This window comes from Homo sapiens, chromosome Y (assembly GCF_000001405.40).
Source record: "Homo sapiens chromosome Y, GRCh38.p14 Primary Assembly".
NCBI classification, from domain to species: Eukaryota; Metazoa; Chordata; class Mammalia; order Primates; family Hominidae; genus Homo; species Homo sapiens.
Window position 1 is genome coordinate 20,755,627 of NC_000024.10, and position 26,770 is coordinate 20,782,396.

Consider the following 26,770-nt stretch of genomic DNA (forward strand, 5'->3'; position numbering starts at 1 on the left):
CACGTCCCATAAAACCTACCCTTTCAAAGTTGACAATACAGACGATTTTAATACATTCTCAAACCTGTGAAATTGGCCCTAATTCAGAAAAACGAATTGTTTCTTAAATCATGATTTTACAATACAACATGTCACAGTCACAAGGAATCATACAGGTTATTTCTTAACGATTGGCTTTTTTTTTTTTAAGGCGGCTAAATCCTGCTCCTTCAGAGCTTCTGTTAAATATTTTTAAAGTTGGCGAAAGATAATTTTTAGAGTGTAAACTGCGTCCTCCCAGCTTAGCCGACCTGAGGGGAGGAAGCACAACAAAAAGTCCCGTGGCATAACTGACACCTATGAATCAGTATCAGAAACTGAATATGCTAAGAAACTCAGTTCCGAGCTGTGACCTCTACAACGGAAGAATAATAGGTTGGTTACCCGAGGCGGAATCTGGAACTGAAATTCTCACTCATTTGACTTCCCGCTGTTTATCACCGCAGATTACGGTTGCACCGTAAAAGGAGAGGTTCTGTTCCGTCGCGGGATTTCGCCATGGTAAGACGTCTGCGTCCTAGCTCCGGATTTATCTGCCTCCATCCTTTGAAGAAGGGCCTTCCATCTTGGCAAGCTTTTACTTTTCGGGTACCGCTGCTTGGCGGGTGGGAATGCTGCTGGTGCTGCTTCAGGAAACCCGATTTGGAGAGCGGAGGTCTGAGAAGAGTGCGGCTGGGGGTTCCGGGCTGGCCCTTGTGCTCGGCCTGGGCGCCGGTGGTGCTGTTGGCACGTGAGTCTTGTTAGGAATAAGCTTCCTCGGCTAACCTTACAAGTCCACCCTTGACTCCGCAGCCCAGCACTGGCTTTTTACGCGGGTTAGCTTATATCCATACGTTGAAGCAGTCTCAGATTCGCTTGGAGAGCACTGTGGACGCTGTCTTGACAGACGCCAGAGAGACTCGTGAGGTTGTCAAAGGTCTGGGAGTTTTGCGGGGTTTGTTCTGGAGTCTGGCAGGAAGTAATATTTGCTCAAAACTGGGCGTGAAATAGCCTGGACTGTCCTTTCTCCTCCGATCCGGTATTACCCGTTAGCAGTTGTTACAGCTGAAGATAAAGACATTTTACTGTTAACTGAGACGAGTTTCTCTGAAAAAGTTTGGTGTCTTTTTCAGGCCCGGGGCCCCAAGAAGCACTTGAAGCGTGTTGCAGCGCCGAAGCATTGGATGCTGGATAAACTAACTGGTGTATTTGTGAGTATAACTGTATTTGCTTTTTACTCAAAAGTGCATGCTGTGTACCTGTGGCTTGCTATTTCGTGGGAACACTGTTTGCTTATTTATGTGAGATTTTCGTTGGTGAAGACTTGCTGCACACGGAACTTGTCCTTGCACTGTAATGAAAAGGTCCCTGAGAAAAAAGTTAGGACATCCTGTTTGGAAACAGCGGGTCGAACAGCTCTCTGACCTCAACTTTGAGCACTATTGTGGTCCATAATGTCGCTGAGAACCTGGGCTTGCCATCTTTTAGTAACTATTGAGAGCCTAATACATGCCAGGTGTTGTTATGTGGGCCCACCCTTAAGGATATGTCCGGGTACAAAATGGTTGGACAACAAAATCTATCCCTCTTTCTTGTTGAAGCTTACATCCTGCTGGGAGGAGAGGGAAGTTACAGTATGTTCACAGGTGCTGAAGGCTGGGGGGAGAAAAAAGTAGGGCTGTTGGAAGGATCAATGGGGTTTTGAGCACTGCAGTTTTAAAGAGTGTGAAATAAAGAAGCCTCTTACAGAAGAACAGAAAGACATAAGTGAGTGAACTATTGGACATGTTTGGGGTTTTTTTTTTTTTTTTTTTTGAAACTGAGTCTTGGCTTGTCACCAGGCTGGAGTGCTGTGGCATGATCTTAGCTCACTGCAACCTCTGCCTCCGGGTTCAAGCGATTCTCATGCCTCAGCCTCCCCAGTAGCTGGGATCTTTTAGTCACCACGCCGATCTAAATTTTGTATTTTTAGTAGATACCAAGTTTCACCCTGTTGGCCAAGATGTTCTCAATTTCCTGACCTTCTGATCCACCCGCTGGTGGCCACTCCCACAGTGCTGGGATTATAAGCATTAGCCATGGCGCCCCTCATATTTTCAAAAGAGCTGTTAGGCTGCTGTGTTGTGATTTATTCAAATTGTGTTATATCATGAACCCATTTCTTGAGGCTTGTGCTCTCAAGGATTAAAAATGCCAACAGCAACAACAAAACACCAGGATGTCAAGTCCTGGTGGTCTCTTTTGCTGTTTGAGCTCTCCACTTTAGAGGGCACTTCCTGAACCCAGACCTGAGGGGATTAATGAATGTGCTAAATTCCAGATAAGAAAGGGTTCAGTGACAGTGCACTGAGTCCCCATTAATAATAAAATGTATTTAATTTGAAGTTACCCTTTGTTTCAGAGGGTGGAGTAGCTGCTGTTTACATTGAGCCCAAGATACGGTTTTAACAGTAACGGCTACTGGGGTCCATGCAACACAGGCAAGAAATTGCGTGAGAAATGCAGGAGTCTCTTGAACTCAACCTTGAAGACCTGGCAGGATGAGGACAGTATGCCCAGAGGCAAAGGAGGCAAGCATCTGACAAGAGGCGGACTAGGCAGTTTCCACATTGGTGGTGTGGTAACAATGGGAGAGAGGGGTTGAAGCCATAAGAAAGTCTTGGGTCTTCTGAGACAGAAAGGGAGCCAGTGTGAAGAAGCAGACAGAAGCGAGGTGATTAAGATGCCAAAAGTTTTGTTGGGCAGGAATAAACATAGGGCATCTAAGAGAAAATAATGCAGCCCTGAGGGTCCACATCCACATAATAGGCACTTGGTAACTAACTTGATAGATTACGTAGCCTTTTCTTGGGACTTAGAACTCTGAACACTGAGTAGCAGAAATTTGTCTTCCTTGTCTTGGCATTTTCGGAGAGAACATGGACTCTGTGTTGTTTGCAGAGCTGGATTTGCAAACTTTCCGTGTCAGTTTCTGCTTCCAAGTCTTATCTCTGCTACTGCCCCCTAGTGTCTGACCTCCCAGGTTGGGCCCCTGTTCCCTCTATTGTTAAGTGGATGAGCAAGGCACTCTCTCTCTTTTTTTTTTTTTTTTTTTTTTTTTGAGACGGAGTTTCAGTCTTGTTTCCCAGGCTGGAATGCAATGGCACAATCATGGCTCACTGCAACATCCGCCTCCTGGATTCAAGTGATTCTGCTGCCTCGGCCTCCCAAGTAGCTGAGATCACAGGCATGTACCACCAAGCCCAGCTGATTTTGTATTTTTAGTAAAGATGGGGTTTCTCCACATTGGTCAGGCTGGGTCAAACTCCTGACCTCAGGTGATCTGCTTACCTTGGCCTTTTAAAGTGCTGGGATTACAGGGGTGAGCCGCTGCACCTGGTCAAGGCACTCTTTTTAAGAAGACTTGCTGGGAACTTAGTCCTCAGTCTTCTGGGCTCCACTCTTTTCCCCATGGCGTCGATGGAAGTGTGTGGTTAATGATTGAGTCCATTTTAAGAGGGATAAAGCTAAATAGGCATCTGTAGAAGGAGCTTTAAGAACAGCCTTCATTAGAAAGGATTCCTGTGTGGCCTCAGCTTAAGAGATAATTGAGGAGTGGAGTTAAAGGCAATACAGCCCCAGAGCTTGAGACCTTTACAGGTACTGGTAGCAAATAGCCAAAGGATGGTATAACACTAAAACTGCAAAAGTATAGGTTATAGGATTTATTGGAGTGGGAATTTGATGACACTTAAGCTGGTGGCAAGCAGCCAAGAAAGGGAAGAGCACACAGTCTGTGTTAAGAGGTGGTCCAGCAATATCGGCAGGGCTTGTGTGGGACTTTGAGGCCTAGAATGGTGAGAAAGTAGTAGAATATGTCTTCGTAGGTTGTGGGTAAAGCGTAACCTACACCTGAGATACATGGGATGTAGTATTGTATTGAAGGGAGGTTTGAAGAGGCAGTACCAGTGCTGGTGGTGCTTGGGGCAGGGCAAAATGGGGAGATGGTTGTGAGACTGGATTTGTGAAACAAAGGGGCACAAAAAGAGACTTCCATAGTTGGGGTTGTGACCTTCCTAACAAGACAGACCTCTCTAAATTGATGAAATAATTGCCCTCTTATATTCCTCTTCCCCAACTAGTTAAGTTCAGCTAATGCTGAACTAAGGCAAGTCATCTACTCAATCTGGTTATGTAAGGGGCGGATCTTGAGAGATTAGGTTGCCTGCCATTGTCTTCTACAGGCACCTCGTCCATCGACAGGTCCTCACAAGCTGAGGGAATGTCTTCCCCTGATAGTCTTCCTCAGGAATAGACTCAAGTATGCATTGACTGGAGATGAGGTAAAGAAGATATGTATGCAACACTTCCTCAAAATTGATGGCAAGGTTCGAGTGGACATCACATACCCTGCTGGATTCATAGGTAAGGAAAGAGTTCTTTGTTTTGAAGAAGGAACAGGTTGAGAGAAAAACAAGGTGTGAGGCTTACATGTTGCCAACGATAAGCAAAACCCAACACTGAACTTTGATTTCTACATGAGTTACTGCTGGTCATTTCAGAAGGAGAATGAGGGATAGGGAGAGCGTGGCAAGGCACAAGTGAAAAGCTGGAAAGGGGTTGGTAATGTAATGGGATGAGATCAGCAGTGGCTGCTAGCTGGTGGTTATCGAAGTTTGGTTCCTACCCTCCCAACAGAGACTGGGAGACAGAGAAGCTGTCCTCAGGTGTTGGCTGGAAAAAACAGTAAATTCTTTTGGTTAGTCTTGAGTTTGTCAGGCAGGCACTTTGAAGGGGTCTGGGCTCATCTTGAGTTTTTAGAAGCCATGTTAGTGGTTCAGATCTTCATAGCCAAGGCTGAAGCTCAGCCAAGAAGAGGGCTTAGAGGAGTCTGGCTAATGACTGGTCAAGGAGAGAGAATCTTTGTCAGTGAACAGGGTTTTGGCCCTGTCTTCCCACTTTCTCTGTTGATGACCTAACCATGCTGGATCTCCAAGGATGCATTTGCACCTTGGTGGGAGAGGAGAGTGGAGAAGGGAGAGAAGGGTCACACTCGTCTAGGGAAAAAGTGTCCTGAGAAGGATGGTAGGGAAAGGCACTGAGGAATTCTGACCTAGTGGTTTGTTCTCTCTTTCTTTCATGGCGACAGGCTCAATACTTTTTTTTTTTTCTTCATTTTGTATTTTGCTTTCTTTCTTAAAACTCCAAGTCCCAAGCAAGGCAGGACTCCTGATAAGGGAAGTCAGAGTCGTGGCGGGGGGTGCCAAGCCATTGACCGGGCAACCTGCAGAGCCTTGAGCCTTGTCTGCTTAAATGTGAGGACTGCTTGTTCATTTGGTTTTCTGGTGTGTGTGGGTATGCTTATGTGTGTTTTCTCCTCAGCATCCTGAGTGCATTAACCCAGAACACAGTCTCAAGCAGCCGTTGCACAATAACATAGAAAGTGGTAGAGTAGCCATATATATAGACATTTCCTTTTGTTGGATGATATTTACTGGGACAGGACCGGGGTTGGTTGGTTTCATTCAAGCACCCCCATCAAGCGCTGGGGACCCCTACGCTGCTAAAATGTTCTCACATTCAGCTTGGCACAGAGAGCTCCAGCTGTGCAGGCCAAAGAAACTGCATTAATAATGTTCCTTATACTTGTTTGTGATCAGATGTCATCAGCATTGAGAAAACAGGTGAGCATTTCCGCCTGGTCTATAATACCAAGGGCTGTTTTGCTGTTCATCGTATCACAGTGGAAGAGGCAAAGGTAAGTGAGCTTTATAATTTCCAGACAGATAGGTCTGTTGCTAAGGTTCTCAGACGGCATTTAAGCCATATTCTGGGAATAGTGCCTATCTCTGCCTGTTTGTCCGGGCATTTAAGCCATATTCTGGGAATAGTGCCTATCTCTGCCTATTTGTCTGGTTGTTCAATTCAGGCACGTAGGTCTACCAACACTGATACAAGGCAGTGGATTTTCCAGACGAGGCTGTTTAGAAACAGCGTACAGAGTAAGCAGTTCTCTGAGGGACAAGATGTTTCTGTATAGGAAAAGTCTGGTATTGGAACCAGGAAGGCCTGGGTAAGAATCCAGACCCTGTCATTGATTAATTATGTAACCGTAGGCAACAGTATGTAGAACCTTTTGTGAGCCTTCATTTTCTCTGTAAGTGGTGATAATATGCTTTCTTGCCAGGTTTCTGTGACTGTTAGCAGCAGTGGTGCCTCGCACTTGCTAGACATAGAAGATTGTTGACTTCCTGAAGTCTGCCTCAACCGTTAAACTCCCCCTTCTCCAAATTTAATGGCCAAAGTCAGTACCATCGGGGAAACTTTTCAAGGAAGTTCCTTTCCGTGTGGACAGCACCTGCCTTTTTTCTGTGTAGGGAACACCTCTTTGGAAACCAGGATCACCCCTCAGTCATCCATTCCTCTTTTCCCTGGATTTAAGGTCATGGGGTGACTTCTTCCTTATTTCTCACATAACCCAATCACCTGTACAGTGACCAAATGCCACCTAAATATGAGACACATTCTATAGATGAATTTCAATGTTTTATCAGACATTGTTTCCACTTTGTTTAATCAGCTTGCCTTTTTCTCAGTTATTTCTTTGGGGGAAACACATTGGAGTCCCTATAGGAATTCACAAATACTTTCATATCTGGGTAGTTTCTTAATTGATCAGTTGTTGGTTGTTTTTAACTTCTTTGGTAGTGTCCCTTGATGCAGTGTCCCTTCTGTTTTTGTGGATTGTTCCCACAATGAGGTGCTTTGTTTTAGGTGGTAGGAACTAGGTCTAGTGTCCTGGAGAGTGTTCAGTTGCCCAGGGTGTTGGATCCTGTTGTGTCTAAAAGCTAGAAAGCACAGGGAAATCTCAAATCTGATGACTGGTTTCTGCTTTTGTAAGGAATTTGGATCTCAAGAGACAATGCAGATTGGTAGTCCCTGTGAATTTTTTTTTTTTTTTGACTGAGTCTCACTCTGTCGCCCAGACTGGAGTGCAGTGGTGCCATCTCGGCTCGCTGCAACCTCCGCCTCCTGGGTTCATACTAATCTGCCTCGGCATCCCAAGTAGCTGGGACTACAGGCATGTGCCACCCCTCCCGGCTAATTTTTATATTTTTAGTAGACATGGGGTTTCACCATATTGGCCAGGCTGGTTTTGAACTCCTGACCTCGTAATCCACCTGCCTGGGCCTTCCAAAGTGCTGGGATTACAGGCATAAACCACCACACGCAGCCGTTGCTGTGAATTTTTAAATGGGGAGAGATGGAGTAGGAGAAGGAGATACTGGAGAGTTGTTAATACCTAGTACTGGTTCTACTACATTGGCCAGTCACCATGTGAAAAGCTTGTGTCCAGGTGAGTATCACATCGTAGCCACAGGTGCCAAATGCCTATTCTGGGTTTGGGTTAGAGTAAGGACCTTATCTTTGTGCAAGAGATAAGAGATTTGGGGAAGTTTTGGTTGAGCTTATTTGTTGGCTGGTTGTTTCTTTCGATAGCTAGAAAGGTAGCATTCCCTGTCACACCCCAGCCAGCATGTCTAGAGCCACAGGTTGAAGGGCACAGTGACTTCAGAGTGGAGAGTGGTGGGCTCCTTGGATTTCAGTGTATCAGGGACACACCACGGAGCCTTTTTATGCAGATTACTAGTCCACCAGGTAGCACAGGTTAGTGGAGAGACAGAACATCCAAACGGCCCTCCACCCTTGAAATTAAAACTAGAAAAGGGATATTTTATGGGTCTTGAGAAAACAGCCTTATAGATTTCAGACATAATTTTTCCCTTTAACAACTTGGTATTAGTTGAGGACCACAGAAATGGGAGTCATTAGATTTAAGGATGGGAGATGAGGTTTTTGTTTTGTTGTTGTTGTTGTTTTGTGATTGCCACTACAGTGGATGGGAGAAAAGGAAAGATTTTGGGTGAGCCCGTGATGAGCCTGCACATGAGTAATGGGAACTGAGGCAGTACCTGTTCCCATTGCAAGTTGGGGTAGAGGACACAAGTATCACCTGGGAGATGGCAAAGGAGACAAAGGGTTTAGTGTATGCATCCCCTGCTGTGGTAGAGGGGAAGAAGATGTGGGACAGGGTGACTGAGTATTTGGTGGTAGGGTAAGGAGATGGTAGCTGCAGATCTTCATGAAATACATGGATGCTTGAGAGAGTTGTGGAAGGACAGTACATTAATGCTTTGGGTTCAGCTTGCGTTGGAACTTTCAAGTAGATGATAGAAGGAAGTAGATGCTGACTGAAATAGAGGACTGAAACACTGCTCAGATGAGTTACAATAGAGGCTGAATAGTTGGCACAGAATCCTCATTGACTTTGGGCAGCTTGTATTCAATGATGGATGTGCATGGGGAGAGAGAGATTTCATAATGCAGAGGGTTTATGAACAGGATCTAGGTGGTGCAGGTTCTGTTTCCTGAAAAGTAGAAAACACTGGTTAAAGAAATCAGAAAGAGGAAGTCAGAGAGTAACCAACCGGAGATGTGTTTGTGGATTGTCATTCTTGAAAATTGAGAAGACTGAACCTCATAAAGGTGGCAGTTATACCCAAAGTAGAAGATAGATGGTGGTAAATAGAGGTAACTTTGTTAAGAGGGAGTTTCTTTTAAGATAAGAGGCGATGTTTCCCCCTTTTTTTTTTTTTACACAATTGGAGTCTGGTGCAAAAGGAGGTAGTGGTCAAGACCATGAATGTGGAGACTAGTGCTTTTGTGGTGGGCAAGGAAAAAGACTGGCGGACAGGATAGGCAGTTGAAGTTTCAGAAAAGATGGAACCTGGGCAATTGCATTTGTTTGTTTCTAAGGGAGGCCAGGTAGGGAAGGATTTCAGACTGGTTTGTGTGGGTGTTATTCAAAGGGCAGTGGAAACTTGAAGCGAACAGTTCTTTAATCTGCAGTTCGAGAGGGACAGGGTAGAATGCTTTCAGTGGAGCCTCACATTTGACATTCACTTTGGAGAATGACCAGGGGCCTCACCTTGCAGTCCAGGTTGTATGGAAAGGGTGTTGATGGGGTAGGCATGTTGTAATAGGTGGTGATGTGATTACAAATCATTGCTCGTCAAGATTGCTGAGCAGACAGGCAGCAGAGTTGAGGTTTTCTTTTGGTAGGGTGCTGTACGACAGCTACAAATAGTCTTTTTCTCCAAATTTCTTTTAAAAACAATAATTAAATTTAAAAAATTGAGTAGTTTTTTAGATTCAAGTAGTTTTTGGGTTACACAGTGGTGAATTTTGAGATATTAGTGCGCCTGTCACCCTAGTAGTGTGTGACTGTACGTAACCTAATGTACAGTTATTTTTATTCCTGGCCCCCTCCCAAGTCTCTGAAGCCCATTATATCATTTGTATGCTTTTGCATACTCATAGCGTAGCTCCCACTTACAATCGAGAACCTAAGAGTTTTGATTTTTTCCACTCCTGTGTTAGTTCACTTAGAATAATGGCTTCCAGCTCCATTCAAATTGCTGCAAAAGATGTTTCGTTCATTGTTGGGTGGGGTCAGAAGATGATGGGGGAGTCACATCTTTAAAATCTGAAGGCAGTCTTTTCAGTTGTGGGGCAAAGGAAAAGTGATTGGTTTTTTGCAGATGGTTGAGGCTACCCCTCTGGTACAAGGTTTACTCAGCTGGAAGTTCCCCTCATGAAATGTCCAGCCATACCCTTAGTGAAGCTCTAGTTTCCTGGCAGGATGGGCCTCTACTAAGCAAGACGACCCCAGATCTGAATCCTGAGCTGTCTTGGCCACATGAAGGTTTGGTGCTTAGGTAATAAAGTTGTTTGAGGTGAATATGAGGAAAGCCTGCCATGGTGTTGTCTTTTGCAGGAGCACTTCTCTTAATAAAAGTGTTTAGAAGTTTTTAGCCTGTCTTAGTCCTGGTCTTAAAAGTACTGCAAACTCGGTCAGTCAGCTCTGTATAAAGGTTAGACAGAATTGTTACCTGTTAATGTACTAGCATGCTTACAGGCATTTTACTCAGTTATGGATAGTTACTGAGTGTCATCTGTGTTTCAGTCAAGTTACCTGTGGATGCTTCAAGGACTGACATGCATCATGAAGCTTGGGTTAATGGTTCCAGAGTGAACCTCAGAGGATGGAGGGAGGCCACTTGGAACTGGTAGCACCTTTAAAGGGAGAGGCCATGCCTTTTTCAGAGGGTGTTTCATGCCTGCGTTTAAAGACAAAGGACCTTTGGGCCCAAGGTGTCAAGTTTGATGCCATGATGATGCTATTGCTGTCATGAAGAAATAGTTTGGTTAGTGAGAGGATCTGTGGAAGATACAGGAGAAGAGTATTTTTACTTGTTTTGTTTTTGCTGTCTGTCTCCTGACCGTCAGCAGTACCTGTTAACTACTGTGACTCCTTTAGCCCTGTTCTCAGAGTATACTACACAGGATGTATGTGAAAAGTGGAGGGCAGCAGGTAGGCTTTGAAGTGTGAATAGGCCTTCTATGTGTTCACAGCTATAGAACTTGCTTGGACCTGGGTTACCTGGGATATTTGGAGCTAATGAGCCAGGGTGGAAAGGGGACAGAATTAGCTTTCGCTGGAAACATTTTAGAATCCCCGAGTAGGTTCAGGATGTCACATGCAAAAAATGTGCAGGACAGTTGGCTGACATGAATGCATTCAGCAGGCCATGATGCAAAGACTTGCCTCATGAAGTTGGAGGGGCAGATTTTATTCTGAATAGGGAACAGTGATTATAATAGCGATATTGGTAATAGGGATCTTGGTAACTGTGTGTAGAGCCATTTGAGAGCTAGAGCATGGCATTTCAGAGTTCTTTTCTCATGTTATCAAGGACAGGATTTCTTAAATCTAGCAGGGAGTAGAGCTGGAGAGATTGAGAATGTCCACTAGTAGCCCTAGGTTTTGTAATACTGCTTTAGTAAGTGGTCACTGGAATTGCACTGTGAAAGATAAGGATTTCAAAGGCAGGAGAAAGGAGGAAGGGTACTGAAGATGGGATAGTAACTTTTAAAGGCAAATTGCAAGTTTCCCTTCTCCTAAATGGGGATGGAAGAGTGAAGTCAACAGACAGGCTGTTTTCAAGTCTGGCCTCACTGGTGGCAGAGTATAGGCTCTGGAGTAGTGTTCTCTTTCTTATGATTTGGTCCCAAGGCCTTAGGAAGTATAAGAGGAAAACATGTTTTCTCTGCCTGCTTAGTCCTCAGCAGCTCTAGGACCTTATTTACTCGAGGCTTGAACAAGCCTGGATTCTTGGCCAATGCTCTGGTGCTTATGGACTGTAGCTTGGTAGTTTTCCACTTAGGAGTAGAAGGCAAAGAGAACAATGAGCTTCGATAATCATATTGTACCCCATCCACATGTATTCACCCGAAGCTGGCAGGTTAGTAACCCTCTGTGCCCTTAGTATGCCATTTATTGTCTGAGGCGATTCTGCTTGGCTGCTCAGTGAATCTCAAATTCAAATTAGGGATCAGGGAGCTAGGCAGTCTTCATTTCTGTGCTTAACTCCCTGGCCAAGAAAGCTGAAAATGATCTTGGGTTTGTATTTGTAGTGGTGGTAAATGTGAGCTGGTGTTGGTAAACAAACTGACCACTTACTGAAGAGAGTGCCTGGGGGGGTTGTGTCAACTGTGAACTTTTGAGGTAGAGAGAAGAGAGTGCACTCATTAGATTGACTGCCTAGGAGCCAGGCCTTAACATGGATAAGTGGGCTTGGATATGCCTGGCTGGTGAATTCCAGATTTACCTTAACTAATAGAGTTAATATGGCCTAAGTTCCACATGTGGAGTGTCGTCACTGTCTTGGACTGCTGGGTTATATTAAATGGCCTCACATCTCCATAGCGCCTTGAATAGTGTTGGATCAGTAGTAGCAGCAGAAATAATATTAGCTGGCGTTAACTGCTTTGCTAGGTCCTTTATGTTCCTTCATCTTATAAATGTATTACATCTAGGACTGTGCAGTTATTACTCCCATCTTATCCTCTGAAGCTTAAGGGGACAGTATTTGAACTTGGGGACTTTTTATAGGAGTGGAGCCCAAGATCTGGCTACTTTTCTCACCATGTTTCTTTCCACACCTCCTAGGCAGGTCAAAAGCAATGACAGAGACAAGCTGGCAACTCTAGTCAGTCCTGAGAGCCCAAAGATGAGGGAGAGAGTGCAACATCTGTAGAGGAAATGCAGGAGCTGATTTAGAAAAAAAAAAAAAAGTATTGGCTCTTGGAGTTCATTTATTGTGCCCTTCTTGGAGGTTTTCTCTCATCTTTTCTTGGGGGGTTTTCTGTTACCTGGCACTCTACGTTTGTCCTTGTCATTTTCACATTTACCCAAAACTTGCCCTGAGAAGCTTTTTCTCCCAGCAAAGCTAAAAGAAAACCCATTTTGTTACTTCTGAGCAGTGACACTCTGTGGGGAGCCCGTGGTACATAGGATGGGCAGTAACAACCACAAATGGGTTATGTTCATTTGAGATTACGAAGTATACCATTTGAAGCCCCTGAAAATTGTTTCTGGAACATAATGGGGCTTGGCTAACTGTTGGGATGATACACGTACTTGGTATGAGACATTTTGAACAGCTTCTGCTGTTAGATGTCATTTGAACAGCACCAGAGCTCAAGGAGCTAAGGCAAGTAGATAATGGGATGTGACCCTTAAAAATCAGGTGAGGAAGAGCAGCATTGTGTATGGAAGGTATCTAGCTGCCTGGAAAAGCTGTTTTTACCTAACCTGGTCATCAAAGCGTCATGTTTTTAGCAGTGGTAGAGTTAAGTTTGTTGCTAGGGCACCATGTAGCCACCTTTCCAGAGTTGCAAGATGAGAGTTCTCTCGGGAAAAACATCCCTGAGGAGAAAGTGATAGACCAGTCGGTTGAGTCTGTGTTACCACTCAGATGTACAGGCAACAAGCTTAGCCTGTGATAAAGGACCGGAAGTTAGTTCAGCTGAGTACTCCTCCAGGAGCCACCAGAGGGTTCTGAAACAGATTCCCCCTTGGGGAGGTTTCCCAGATGTCTCAATTACTAAATCAGTATGGCAGACCATCAGCTCTGTGACTGGTTAATATAGTTTTTCCAAGAGCACTCCCTCTGACTAAGGAAATGTTGAAAATTGGTGGGATTAATAATGACTGGGTGACTGCTTTGGGCTGAGTTTGTGTTTACATGCTAAATTGGTTTTCCTTATGTGTATAGTACAAGTTGTGCAAAGTGAGGAAGATTACTGTGGGGACAAAGGGAATTCCACACCTGGTGACTCATGATGCTCGAACCATTCGCTACCCAGATCCTCTCATCAAGGTGAACGATACTGTGCAGATTGATTTAGGGACTGGGAAGATAACCAGCTTTATCAAATTTGACACAGGTAAGGTTTTTTTTGTTGTTTTTTTTTTCCCTTGTCTGTTGGCCACCTCCCTTGCCTTTTCTTTTTCTATCTTTTCTTTCTATTTTATTCTCTTTTATCTGTATTACCATCTTGACTGGAGAGAACACATTTGGCTCTCCCTAAGAGAGTATGTTGCCTCGTGGTCTCTTGGGTTTGCAGTGGGTTCTTGATGCTGAATAGTGGTGTGACGTCCCTTTGGGCTACATCCAACAGCCTGGCCTTTTTCAAGAATGTAAACCATAGCTGTGTAAACTCGGTGTCCATTTGGTTTGTCATGAGAGGGGAACTTTGTTTTAAATGTGTAAATTTTATGTGTATTCCTTGAGTTGAAGGGCTGAAGTTGTCCAGATAACCTCAAACTAGTGATGAGGAAAAGATGTGTCTGCAGATTTGTTTCTCCTCCCTACACCCCAGGCTCTGACTCCTGACAGCTTTACACCCAAGTGCTTGCTAGCATCTGATGTGCTAATGAAGTGAAATATTTTGCCCAGTGTGTTTAACAGAAATTTCTAGAAATGCAGAAACACTGAAAAAATAGGATAGGCACAACAAACAATGACAACTCCTTTTTCTGCCTATCTTTGATGACTTTGCACTTCGTTCTGTTGCTTAAGTGCATCCCCACAATCCCCACTTGGACCCTGATTTAAGACCCAGCCAAAGTCGTCAGTTGCCTTGCTGTTTAAAGACCCCAAGCTGGCTGTCTTGAATTCAGTACTCCACACGCTGAAGCTGTCTGATTGTTGTCTGACCTCTATGACCTTGTGCCTGTGCTGCCTGAACTCCTGGTATTTACTGTTGAACTGGAAATGTTAGGCAAGAATGTTTGGCTGTGAAAGTTGAGAGGCCTTCCCATTAGGGGAAAACATTGAGAGAGGGGATATTAAACTGGATGTTTCATGCTTACGATGTCTAAACCTGTTGATTTCAGTGTGACCACAAAAGAGATAACTAGACATCATGCATCTCCCAGTAGTGGCAGTGCACAGTACCATTCAGGAAGTATTCTTGTCAAAGAATCAATACAAACTTGGATAAAGGGAGAAAAGAAAGCATGTATATATTGGAAGAAGCTTAAGACATCTAGCAGTCATCTGCAGAGTGACTTAGCTTTTTGAGAGGCTTGCCAAAATACTTCAAGTTCAAATGATTTGATACTGGCCATTTGTTTCTAAGTGATCCAATGCAGGACTACATGGATAAAGATGAATCAATGCTGGCCATGAGTTTTCAAATGTTTTGAAACTGGAGAGTGGATAGGTAGGAGCGTATTATGCTTGTCTGTCAACTTTTGCATACCTTTGAGAATAATTTTTAAAACGGACATGGACTTCCTATCTCCAATTAAATGGAATATTTGCCATTTGTTTATTAAATGAATTTCCCTGTTAAAATTCAACAGATTATTCTCCCCCACCTAACTCTATTTGAAATATATAGATCTTTGTTTTACATGAAATGCTTGGTTTGCTTGTTTATTACTTGCTTATTAAGTTTAATCCTGGGAGTTTACATAAAATAATTTCACAGAGCCAATATTTCTGGTAAGAAGAAACCAACTGAATAAGGGCAAAGGTTTCTTTATAGTTCTTGGTTTGTTTGGTTTAAAATGCCTAAGTAATTTTTAATTATGTTTAAAAAAAAAGATACATCATGAATTACCATCTTAATTATTTTTAACGGTATGGATCATTAGTGTTAACTATATTTACATTGTTGTGTGGCAGATCTCCAGAATGCCTACATCTTGTAAAACTGAAACTCTGCCCATTAAACAACTCTGCCACTTCCTCCTCCCCATAGCCCCCAACAACCACCGTCCCACTCTTTGCTTCTGTGAATTTGACTCCTTTGGGTTTGTCTTAATAAGTGGAAATCATAGTGATTGTCTTTGTTTGACTAGTTTACTTTGCAGTGTCCTCAAGGTTCATCATCCATGTTCTGGCATGTGACAGTATTTCCTTCCTCTTTCTGAGGCAGAATAATACTAAATTGTGTGTACACCACATTTTGTTTATCTGTTCTTCTGGATGGGCATTTCGGTTGCCACCACCTCTTGACTATTGTGAGTAATGTTGCTGCGGACACAGCTGTGCAGATAACTCTCCCAGATCCTGTTGGATGTTTTTATGTATATACTCAGAAGTGGGATTGCTGGATCATATGTGATAATTTTACAATTTTTGAGTAATTTTTGTGCTGCTTTTCATAGCAGCCCCACTGTTTTACATTCTCCCCAACAGTGCAGAAGAGTTTCAGTTTCTCCACATTCCTGCCCATACTTTGCTTTTGTTTGCTTTTTATATTTTTTTCTTTTTTCTTTCTTGACAACCCTGATAGGCATGAGGTCATATCTCTTTAGTTTTTGTTGTTGTTCTTTTAAATTTGGGTTTCTGTGATAAGTAGAGATATTGAGCATCTTTTTGTGTGCTTGTATGTCTTTAGAGAAAGGTCTCATTCGAGCCCTTTGCCCAGTATTTAGTCAGGTTGTTTCTTGGTATTATTGCATTATAGGAGTTCTTTAGATATTATCAGATGTAAGATTTGCGGATATTTTCTCTCATTCGTTTGGTTGCCTTTTCACCCTTACTGATTGTTTCCTTTGATTGGCAGGCAATTTTGAATTTGTGTATTTTTGCTTTTGGTGTCATATCCAAGAAATCATGTCCCTAATATCATGAAGCTTGTGGTCCTCTGTTTTTGGCTGTGGTGCTTTATAGTTTGAGGCCTTACGTTGAATCCATTTAGAATTGATTTTTTGTATGGTGTAAGGTAAAGTCTTCCCCATGTTGTTCTTTTACATGGGGACCTAGTTTCACCAACACCATTTGTTGAAGCAACTGTCCTTTCTCCATTGAGAGTTCTGGGCACCCTTGTTGAAGATCATTTGGCCATATACCCTTAGGTTTATTTCTGGGCTCTATTTTCTTCCTTTTGTTGTTTGTCTTTTATGCTAATAAAAGACTGTTGGATTGCTGTCATTTTCATTTTGTATTGTGTGTCAAATCAGAATGTGTGAGTTACCTAACTTTGTGCCTGCCTGCCTGCCTACCTGCCTGCCTTCTCACTCTGTGTCATCCAGGCTGGAGTGCAGTTGTTCGATCACTACTTACTGCAGCCTCAACTTCCCTAGGCTTAGATAATTCTCCTGCCTCAGTGTCCTGAGTAGCTAGGACCACAGGCACATGCCCTGCCACACCTGGCTAATTTTTGTATTGTTGTCATGGAAATGGGGTTTTGCCATGTTGTTTACATTGGTCTTGAACTCCTGGGCTCAGGTGATCAACCTGCTTCTGTCTCCCAAAGTGCTGTGATTACAGGCGGGAGTTACCACACCCAGCCTAGGTTTTGTCCCTTTTGTTAATCTTTTTTTTTTTTCAAATCAACTCTTAGCTTTTTTCCGGTTTTTTTTTTTTCTCTTATGTCTGCTCCAATCTTTATTTAATTTCCTTCCTTCTGCTAACCTTGGGTTTTTCTATTCTTTTTCTAGTTTCTTGTGATCTAGTTAGGTTTTGGTTTGAGGTCTTCTTTTGTAACATAAGCATTTTTGAGCTGCCTTGTCTTATGTGACAGTTTTTGACTTACAGTCTATTTTGTCTGACCAAGTTTGGTCAGCCCCTGCCCTCTTTTGGTTACCATTTGCCTGGAACATCAGCTTTAGTCCTACACTTTTAGCCTATGTGTGTCATTAAATCTAAAACTGGTCTTTTGTTAGTAGCATATAATTGTACCTTGGTTGGTTGGTTGGTTTTATTCATTTAGCTAGTCTTTGTCCTAAGATTGGGGTGGGGAGTTAATTTATTTATAGTCAATAATTACTGTTAAGGAAGGCATTAGTGTAGCTCTGTTGCTAACTATTTTCTGTTATGTTCTGTAGATATTTTGTCCCTATTTTTTCTCCCTTATTACCTGCCTTTTGTGTTTTAAAGAATACTTTGAATCCTTTCTCATTTTATTGTATCTGTCCTTCCTTGGTTATTTTCTTCCTGGTTACCAAGGGAATTACATAAATTATCTTAAATTGAAAACAATCTGTTTTCAGCTGTTAATTCCATCTCCATACCTCCTCAGACCAACTTTGTTATTGATGCCACATGTTAATCTTTTTCTATTGTGTACCCATTTACATTGGTTTATGGTGGTTCTTATGCTTTCATGTTTTAAATTTTATACCAGACTTAAAAGTGATTTGTAAACCATTATGATTTTCTATTTTTCTGTATATTTACCTTTACCAGAGATCTTTATATTTTCATATGGTTTTGTGTCTAATGTCTTTTTCTTGGACACTTGAAGGATTCCCTTCAGCATTTCTTGTAGGGCAAGCCTAGTGCCTTTTGTTTATCTGGGAAGGTCTTATTTTCTTCAATTTTGAAGGACAGCTTTGCTGGAAATGGTATTCTTGTGAGGACTGAACTCTGATTTTAATCTTGCCTAAATTCCTATCTAAGGCGTCTTGGGAATCATGCCCTACAAATGGGCATGACTTATCATCAGATGGGTTTTATTTTAACCCTACATATCATGACTTACTTTCCAGCCTGACACTGGCATAACATTTCGAGACAATGAAGAAAATTAAAATATTTTACCTCAAAGCATGTTTCTTTGCCATATTTTGAAATGGCCCTGCAAAACTGTTCCTTGTGAGGGGGAAATCTGTATTTGTAAAGAGTCTCTCTTCACGTAGCTAGATCTTTTTCTTCTAAATCTTTTCAATCTTAAAGAGATTAACTAAAATTTGAATCGGAAACATTTGTCATCTCTTGTCTCTGAGGGCAGCCATTATAAGACTTCCTCAACTTTGATCTCCACCATCTTTTATCTTAACTAAAACATTCCCTGTCTGTCAATCCCAGGTCTTTAGGCAAACTCAACTTAGGGAAACCAGTTGCCAACCAGAAAATGCTGAAATTCACCAATAGCCTGGACCACCCCACCCCACTTTGAGTTGTCCGCCCTTTCTGGACCAAACCAATGTGTTTCTTAAATGTATTTGATGTCTCATGCCCTTCTAAAGTGTATAAAACCGAGCTGTGTCCTGACCACTTTGGGCACGTGTTCTCAGGACCTCCTAAGAGCTGTGTCATGGACCATGGTCGCTCGTATTTGGCTCAGAATAAATCTCTTCAAATATTTTACAGAGTTAGACTCTTTTCATTGACACTTGAAGTATGTCATCCCTCTATCTTCTGGATGGCAGAGTTATCAGAGATTATCAGAAAAGTGCTTATCTAGCAGGAGCTTCCTTGTACATGATTCTTTCCCAGATTCTTTCTCTGTGATGTGACACTTTGATTATATTGTCTCTTGATGTGTGTCTCTTTGGGCTTATTCTAGTTGGAGTTCAGCTTCTTGAATTTCTATGTCCATCTTCTTTCTCCCAACTGGGGAGTTTGGGCCTCTTTTTTTTTTTTTTTTTTTTTTTTTGAGATGGAGTCTTGTTCTATTGCCCAGGCTGGAGTGCAGTGGCTCCTTCTGGGTTCACGCCATTCTCCTGCCTCAGCCTCCCTAGTAGCTGGGACTACAGGTGCCCACCACTGCACTCTGCTGATTTTTTGTATTTTTAGTAGAGATGGGGTTTCACCGTGTTAGCCAGGATGGTCTCAATCTCCTGACCTCGTAATCCGCCCACCTTGGCCTCCCAAAAGTGCTGGGATTACAGGTGTAAGCCACCGCACCCGGGCCATTATTATTTTTCTAGAAGGCCTTCTGCCCCTCCCGCTCTGTCTCCCAAATTCCCTTGTCATATTCTCTGTTTCTGTCTCTTCTCCTTCTAGGACTCTTGTAATTTGTGTATTGTCTTGTAATTTGTGTATTGTTCCTCTTGATGTTGTCTCATACTCCCTTCCTTAGGCTCACCTTTCTTTGTTATTTTTTTTCTTTTTGCTCCTCTGACTTGTTAATTTCAATGGCCTGTCTTCAAGTTTGCAAATTCTTCCTGAACCTGTGAATTTTTCAATTCAGTTTAAAGGTATTCGGCTCCAGTTTGATTATGGGTATTTGTTGTGGGTTTCCTTTACTTTGTTGATAACTCTCATGTTTATGCGTTGTTTTTCTGATTTTGTTTGTCTATCTGTGTTCCCTTAGTTTGATGTGCATCTTTAAGATGGTTAGTTTGAATTCTTTTTCAGGTAACTCATAGATCATCATTTGTTTAGGCTTATTTTTCTAGAGAAAAACGGCCACCTCTCCCAATCTCTACCAGGTATCTTCATACAGGGACGATGACTTTCACCAGTCAGCCAGGCCAGAGGTTCTGGGGATCTCTCAACTAGGGACTTGGGTGTGCGCTTTCCTGGTTGAGCTTCTGTGAAGACCCTAATCTCTTTCATTCCCTGATGCCTGTCTGTGTAGTACGGCCTCTCTGGTGCTGTAACAACTGTCCCGTCCCCCCAGCACCTGCAGATCTTTGTTTTTTTTGTTTGTTTGTTGTTTTTGAGGCACAGTCTTGCTGTGTCACCTAGCCTGGAGTGTAGTGGCTTAATCTCAACTGCAACCTCTGCCTCCTAGGTTCAATCATTCTCCTGCCTCAGACTCCGAAGTAGGTGGTATTCCAGGCACGCACCACCATGCCTACCTAATTTTTTGTATTTTTAGTTAGAGACAGAGTTTCACCATATTGACCAGGCTGGTCTTTAACCGCTGGCCTCAAGTGATCAGTCCACCACAGCCTCCCAAAGTGCTAGGATTACAGGCCCGAGCCACCGCACCCCACCTGCATGTCTTGTCTTCTTTCTCTGAGTCCCTCAGCCTGGGTGTCCAAACTACCTTCCTTGTCAGTATTGACTCAGGTAAGACAGAAAGCAGTTTGTCAGGCAGGTTTTGACCCCTTGAAAAGCCAGAATGTCGCATGAATGGTTCACATTTCTCTTTCCTTCCTGTGGGAGATGCCAGGATTTTGGATTTTTTTTTTTTTTTCCCAAATGTGTTACGCGGTGCTGGGGAAGTGGAACATGTTGTGCAGGTAAAATGCCACAAATGTTTCTATTGGTCTAGTGCTGCTTTTCTTGGCTTTGCACTGGCCTGGGGTCCTGCAGCCTCTTATCTGATTGGTGGAGTGTTCACCAATGCAGTTTGGTTGTATATGTTATTGTGAAATCTGTGTGTCCAGTCGGAGGGAGAGCCTGGGGCCTCCTCTTGTGCCATTTTGCAGATGTCTGCTGTGTTATTTTTTTGACATTTTAGTTTTTATTTGTTTCCTTGGTGGTTTTGAAATAAAGCCACATCTGGTTCTGTTAATTTTAAGTGGTTGTGCTCGTGATTACAGTGTGCATATTGAAACCACCCAAGCTCAGGATTAACCACCTTCTTTATCCTCCTCTGGGGCAGTAGCAGGATGTGGGTGGGAATATGCTATCTGTTTCTCTCCTTACCTTTCTTGAGATTTTTGACGGGTTTCATGCATCTGGGTTGGCATCATTCTAGAAAATTATGTTTTCACATACTGCTTTGTCCCTAACCTTCCTCTCACCTTGGTTTTCGGGACTTGCATTTAACTTGTATTAGAGCTTCTCACAGTAGACCCAGTCACCCGGTCTTCTCTGTTTTTCATCCTTTGTCTTTCCATGGTGCATCATGAGCATATCTTCCCAGCAACCTTCTCTTTTTCTGATTCTCTCTTCAACCAATTGTAGGCTGTTTCTTTAAACCCATTCCTTTCCATTCTTAATTTTGTTCACTAAATTTTCATTACTTGATTTTCAAATCCACTAGGTCACTCTACAAAGGTGGGCTTCTTGTGATTTACATTAGTTTTGTTCTGTTTTGTTTTGCTTTTGTCCTTGTAGACTCTTTCAAGGCAGTTCCAAGTTCTGCATTTGGTTTGATGCTGTGTTGATGATGGTGGTTCTTTATCATGGTATCTTAGTTCCTTCCATGCTAGACACTATATGTAAAGTGTTGTTAGTAAGAACAATATGAGGTCAATTTTTTTTTTTTTTGAGACAGAGTCTTGCTCTGTTTGGAGTGCAATGACCCAGCCTCGGCACACTACAACCTCTGCCTCTCGGGTTCAAGCGATTCTCCTGCCTCAGCCTTCCGCGAGGCTGAGGTGCCCACCACCACACTGGGCTAATTTTTGTATTTGTGGTAGAGATGGGGTTTCACCATGTTGGCCAAGCTTGTCTTGAACTCCTGTCCTCAGGTGAACCGCCCGCCTCAACTCCCCAGAGTGCTGGGATTACAAACATGAGCATTTGCGCCTGGCTAAATCCTGTATTTTGTTAGTAGGAAAACAGGGTTGTTTTTGGGCTCATGTGTTTGTGAGGGTCCTGCCTTTGGGGTCCATCTAATGGTGGGAAGGGTCTCCTGTTACAGCCTTCACTCAAGAGACTGAACCTGGGGCTTTGATTTCTATTCCACTGTCTTTGTGAGGCCATCAGAAAGAAAGCAGAGTCTCACAACAAAAGTCAACATTAGTTTCCACTCAGTCTGTTTTTCTGAGGGTTGTCTGATAGACATAAAGAATATATCTGACACATTCAAGAATTACAGTTATTCTTGTGAAGGGTCTTAGCTTTCAACCTACATTTACTAGTGTGCCCTAGTGGGAACTTTTGTAAATGTCAGGGGCTTTTTATTGGAACTTAACACACCTTGAAAGAATGAGTGTTCTCATCAATTTATACCCTTTCTTCACTTTTAGAAGCAGTGACAAACAAGTGAAGGGAAGGAACTATTAACAGTTTGAATCTTACCGTGATTAACTTAGTTCTATTTTTTCCCTATGCATACTAAGTCCATAGTGTTCCCACCTAAGGACTCTGGAAAATGAACTAAAAACCTTTGTGGACCTTATTATTGACATAAGCAGCATGAGGCATTTCTGCTGCTCTTTCCCAAGTACTGATTTTCTTTTACAGGAGTCTCTGCAATTGGGTCTTTTCTATGAGGAACAAAACACCAAGCTTTCACTGGCATTTCATCTCACCTCTTTTTTGGGTGTCATCTTCTGCTTATCACGTAGAACAAACATGCATTTTGTTACTGAGCAGGCGTTTTTATCCAGATCTTCCTAAACTGCCCTAAAGCATAGTGTACAAAAGTTTTTTGTAACTGAGGGTGTTTGGTGCTGCTCGTTTACTGTCTTCTCAGTGGTTGCCACAAGGACCCCAAAGAACTGGCCAAGTACACTGACCTAAGAAGCAAAATCTTGGGCTGTTTATGTGATTTTTCTTATATTTCAGATAGGGGTCTGTGGGTACTTTCTTGTGACTTACCTGAACATTATTGGGTATCCATACCATCTGGAATAAATGCGATACCAGCACTTACACAAAATTACTTTCAAATCACTTCTCTGACTCTCAGTACAGTTGTTAATGCTGAGGTAAAACCATTGGTCCTTTTAATTCCTGTGGCTTCTCACCATGCCAAACACATATTTCCCGCTGGCCCTGGATTTCTGTTAAAAATCTGTATTTTGGATCAACAAATGTCTGTGGTAGGGACGGTCAAACTGCAGAAATCTCTTTGTTCATTGGAAATCTCTTTGTTCATTGTCAAATCGAAGAATTTTTACTCTGAACATAATTTTAATTTTCTTTTATCCCAGAGGCTTATCTTTAAGACCCTCAGGTTGAGTTGGTTTCTTCTTTTTCCCATTAGTTTTTGAGAGCTCAATAAGTGTTTGTGCTCTTGATTTATGTTTTTCCCCTTGATTTATAGGTTATAATTTCAAATTTATCCTGGAGTATTTTAGGCTAGGTTACTAGTTTGTGTTTTGTTTTGTTGGCATTAAGACAGGGCTGCATTCTCTGGCTTTGGTGTGTCTTCATTTTAAAAAAAAGGACGTGTCCTTGTTTTTTTTTTCCTTTTTTTTAAATGTGTCTTCACATAAAAAAGTGGACTTATGGCTGAGTCTTTATTAGCAGTGGTTTGAGGAAACTTTTTCTTAAAACATGCTTATTCTGTGATAAAACTTCCTTGACATGGTGGCCTGTGCCCTATATAGGATGCTTATATTAGGTGGTTATGTCCCACAAAAATAAGTCCAGATATCTGAAATGAACACTATTCTTCCAGGAGCCCTGTGACAGCCCTCAGAACATTGGAAGTTTCCCCCTCTAGAGATTGGATTAGCTAGCAGTCCAGTTAAAGGCCTTTCGTTATTGTCTAGTGTCTTTCTGATTAGCCTGAATTTCTCTAGTTCTCCCTCCCTCTCAGTCAATCATTCTTCTTTCTTCCCACCCAGTACTCTTCCATGCCATCTTTGTCCCCCCCAAAAATGATTATTTATTCAACCTTTGAAGAATTATTGTTGGACAAACAGTGCAGGGAAAGCTTGTCATTGGAAAAATCCTTAGGGGCTTGCCTTAAAACGCTGACTGCAGTCTACTTCACAAAAAGCATGTTCATAGTGACAAGAGTTCTTGACATTACAATTTTGTAATGATGCTCCATTTTTTGGTCCCGGTGAGCCTGTCTGTGGTAAATTGGTTTTAAAGGACAGCAGGCCTCTATCTGGTTTTAAAATGACTCCTCTCCTGTTTATTTTCCTTTCCCTCTAGGCAATGTATGTATGGTGATTGCTGGAGCTAACCTCGGTCGTGTTGGTGTGATCACAAACAGGGAAAGACATCCTGGTTCTTGCGATGTGGTACATGTGAAGGATGCCAACGGCAACAGCTTTGCCACAAGGATTTCCAACATTTTTGTCATTGGCAATGTAAGACTTGCACTCTCTTTACTACTTTCTAAGAAGACTCACCCTAAAAAATGTAAAGACCTGCATCCACTGTTGGTGTTTGTCTGTTTGTTCTTGTGTTTTTCCTGTGTTAAGGTGCACAGAGTGCAGCAAGCTCTGTATTTAGCCTCTGACCAGAAAGAATATTAGATCTAGAGCCTTGCGCCTGCCTCTCAAGGAGGTCTGTGTGAGGTGCCAGCACTGTCACACAACAAATTAAGTTAAACTCAGCCTTGCAACTTCTGCAGGGCTATACCACTGGTATGTGCTGGATTAAGGTCACTGTCTGCCATCTCCTCTGAGACTACATTATATGCCTCATCATTGAACATGTATTTGATGATGAAGATTGATGTAAGGGACTATGAGTGAGTTGCTAATTTGAGAATAAGAGCATTTACAAGTCACATACTGCTTGTTAGTTTCGTTTACTCATTCAGAATGACCTTGCTCTGAGATCTTTTGAGGGCTTTTCAGTGAAGGAGCACCTCTGGAGTCACACAGTATCCTCACATGAGAGTCTGTTACCCTGTGACTTAAGGACGGGCAAGCTTTTCATCAAGCAATTCAGCCTTGGGAGTGGTATCTTAACACTTGTACCCTGGCAGCTATTTGGTACGTGAGAGATGATATGGTACAGAGGGGAAGCCTGCTGTTGCCTCTTTGGCTGTGTCACTTGGCAGCTCTATAGTTGGGCCATTTCTCTTCTCAGTGCTGAATTATGACACCTCATTCTGTACCTTTGAAAACAGGTGTATCATATCATCTGGTGTTTCTGAAGGAACTGAAGGACTGAGTAGATGCCTGTGAAAGCTCTGTAAAGCTTATGACAGGGAGCTGACAGTTCTCCACTTCAAAATAATGAGAAGCTGAGGTTAATGGCCTTTTTTTTTTTCTCAGCACTGAGTGCCTTATGGAAAAAGATGTTCATGAAAAGCTTCTTGACTGATTGCTTCACACAAAATAGAAGCAGGAAGACCTGTATTCAGCAGCTCAGCAGTGGGGAGTGGGAGGAACAGTGAGAGACAGACAACCTCTCAGGAAACATGTATAAGGAAATTTTTATTTTGTTGGGAATTTTGTTTGGTTGTGTTCTGTTAGCTGCCCCTTAATGTAAAGGAAGGTACAAGGCATGTGTGTTTTGGTGGAGTGTTGTTTTTTTCCTGTCTTTCCCTCCAGCTTTCTTTCGTCTCCTCCCTTTTCATCCCTTTTTTATGTACTTATTTTATCTCCTTCTCAATTACAGGGTAATAAACCTTGGATTTCCCTGCCCAGGGGAAAGGGCATCCGACTTACTATTGCTGAAGAGAGAGACAAGAGGCTGGCTGCCAAACAGAGCAGTGGCTAAATTACAGTAGTGGCTTATTTTTTTTCTTTGCACAAATAAACAATGAATTCTTGTTTCCTAATGTGTATGTTTTTTTCTTTTTCCCTTGTGGATAATGATAGGGTTTGAATTTTGGGCATGGTTTTGGCACCATCTTAAGATCTCTAGGTACCACCCGTTCTTCCTCTGACCCTCAAGGAAATAAACCTTTTCTTTCCTTCCCTCATACATGTTACCCACATCTTCTCTGTGGTCAGAATGATGGGAATAACATCAATAAATGAAGTGCAAAAAATGTGATATTTTTGGCTGCCTGAGAAAATGAACATTAGTTGAAATCATAGAAGAAAAATGTGTTTGTGTTAATTAGGGAGTTTTTAAATAATTTTTCGTGCCTTACCATGGTTATGCTTTTTCTTTCTACCCCCACTTCCCTCCTCCCCTCTTTTTTCACCTTATAGAATTTACCTCACAGTTTTTTAGGTCCAAAGTCTGGCCTCTCTCTCCGAAAGGACTGCATTCTTTTGTGGAAGCTCTGGGGAAGGTGTTAGTTTCCTTCCTCATTAACATTATTGGCAGAAATTCAGATCTCTGTGGCTGTAGGGTACTGTCCCTGTTTCCTTGCTGACTGGCAGCTGAGGCCTGTTCTCGGCTTCTGTAGGTCACGTGCATTCTTTGCCTAGTGGTCCCATCCCTCAGATACACTAAGCGGTCTTTCTTTGACCCAGTCAGGAACAGTTCTCCACTTTTAAGGGCCCAGCAGGATAATCTCTATTTCATGGACTGTCACTTTAATGACATCATATTTATTCCACTTTGTCTTGGCAGTGGACTTGTAAAAGGTAGCATTTACAAGTACTAGACAGTGGGATGTGGGCATCTTTGATGTTTGTAAAGACTTAGAAACAAAAGAAAAATGGCTGGCGGGCAGTTGAAGCCAACAGTTTAATATTTGGCTACTGTTGAAAAGCAAATTCTGAATTATGATACATAACTGGAAGTTAAAATAAAGGTTATTTTATATTGCAGTGGCTCACATCTGTAATCCCAACACTTTGGGAGAGGGAGGATCACTTGAGCCCAGAAGTTTAAGGCCATCCTGGGCAATATATTGAGACCCTGTCTCTATAAAAAGTAAAAAGCAAAAAAAATTAGCCAGGTATGGTGGTGCATGCTTGTAGTGCCAGTTACTTGGAAGGTGGAGGTGGGAAGACTGATTGATAGCTTTCTTCACCCAGGTCTTGGCGGTTACAGTGAGCCCTGATTCTGCTGCTGCACTCCAGCTTGGGTGACAGAGCAAGACCCTGTGTCTTGCTGGATTCTATAAAAGAATCAGTTACAAAGGGAATAGGAGTCATTACCCTTCCTCCTTGGAGTCTTAAAGG

At 42.5% G+C, this 26,770-nt stretch overlaps 1 protein-coding gene across 1 annotated transcript; it reads left to right on the forward strand.

The window, feature by feature from the left end:
• Positions 482 to 25,406, forward strand: RPS4Y2 (ribosomal protein S4 Y-linked 2). Its single transcript, NM_001039567.3, has 7 exons — positions 482 to 540; positions 1,152 to 1,229; positions 4,242 to 4,422; positions 5,658 to 5,755; positions 13,179 to 13,350; positions 23,883 to 24,040; positions 25,305 to 25,406. The coding sequence occupies exons 1-7, from the start codon at positions 538 to 540 to the stop codon at positions 25,404 to 25,406; spliced, it is 792 nt and encodes a 263-aa protein (NP_001034656.1). The 5' UTR covers positions 482 to 537.

Coding starts and splice junctions, on each gene's coding strand:
- RPS4Y2 (NM_001039567.3), top strand. Junction 4,423..5,657: donor ATACCCTGCTGGATTCATAG/GTAAGGAAAGAG, acceptor GTTTGTGATCAG/ATGTCATCAGCATTGAGAAA. Junction 24,041..25,304: donor ACATTTTTGTCATTGGCAAT/GTAAGACTTGCA, acceptor TCTCAATTACAG/GGTAATAAACCTTGGATTTC.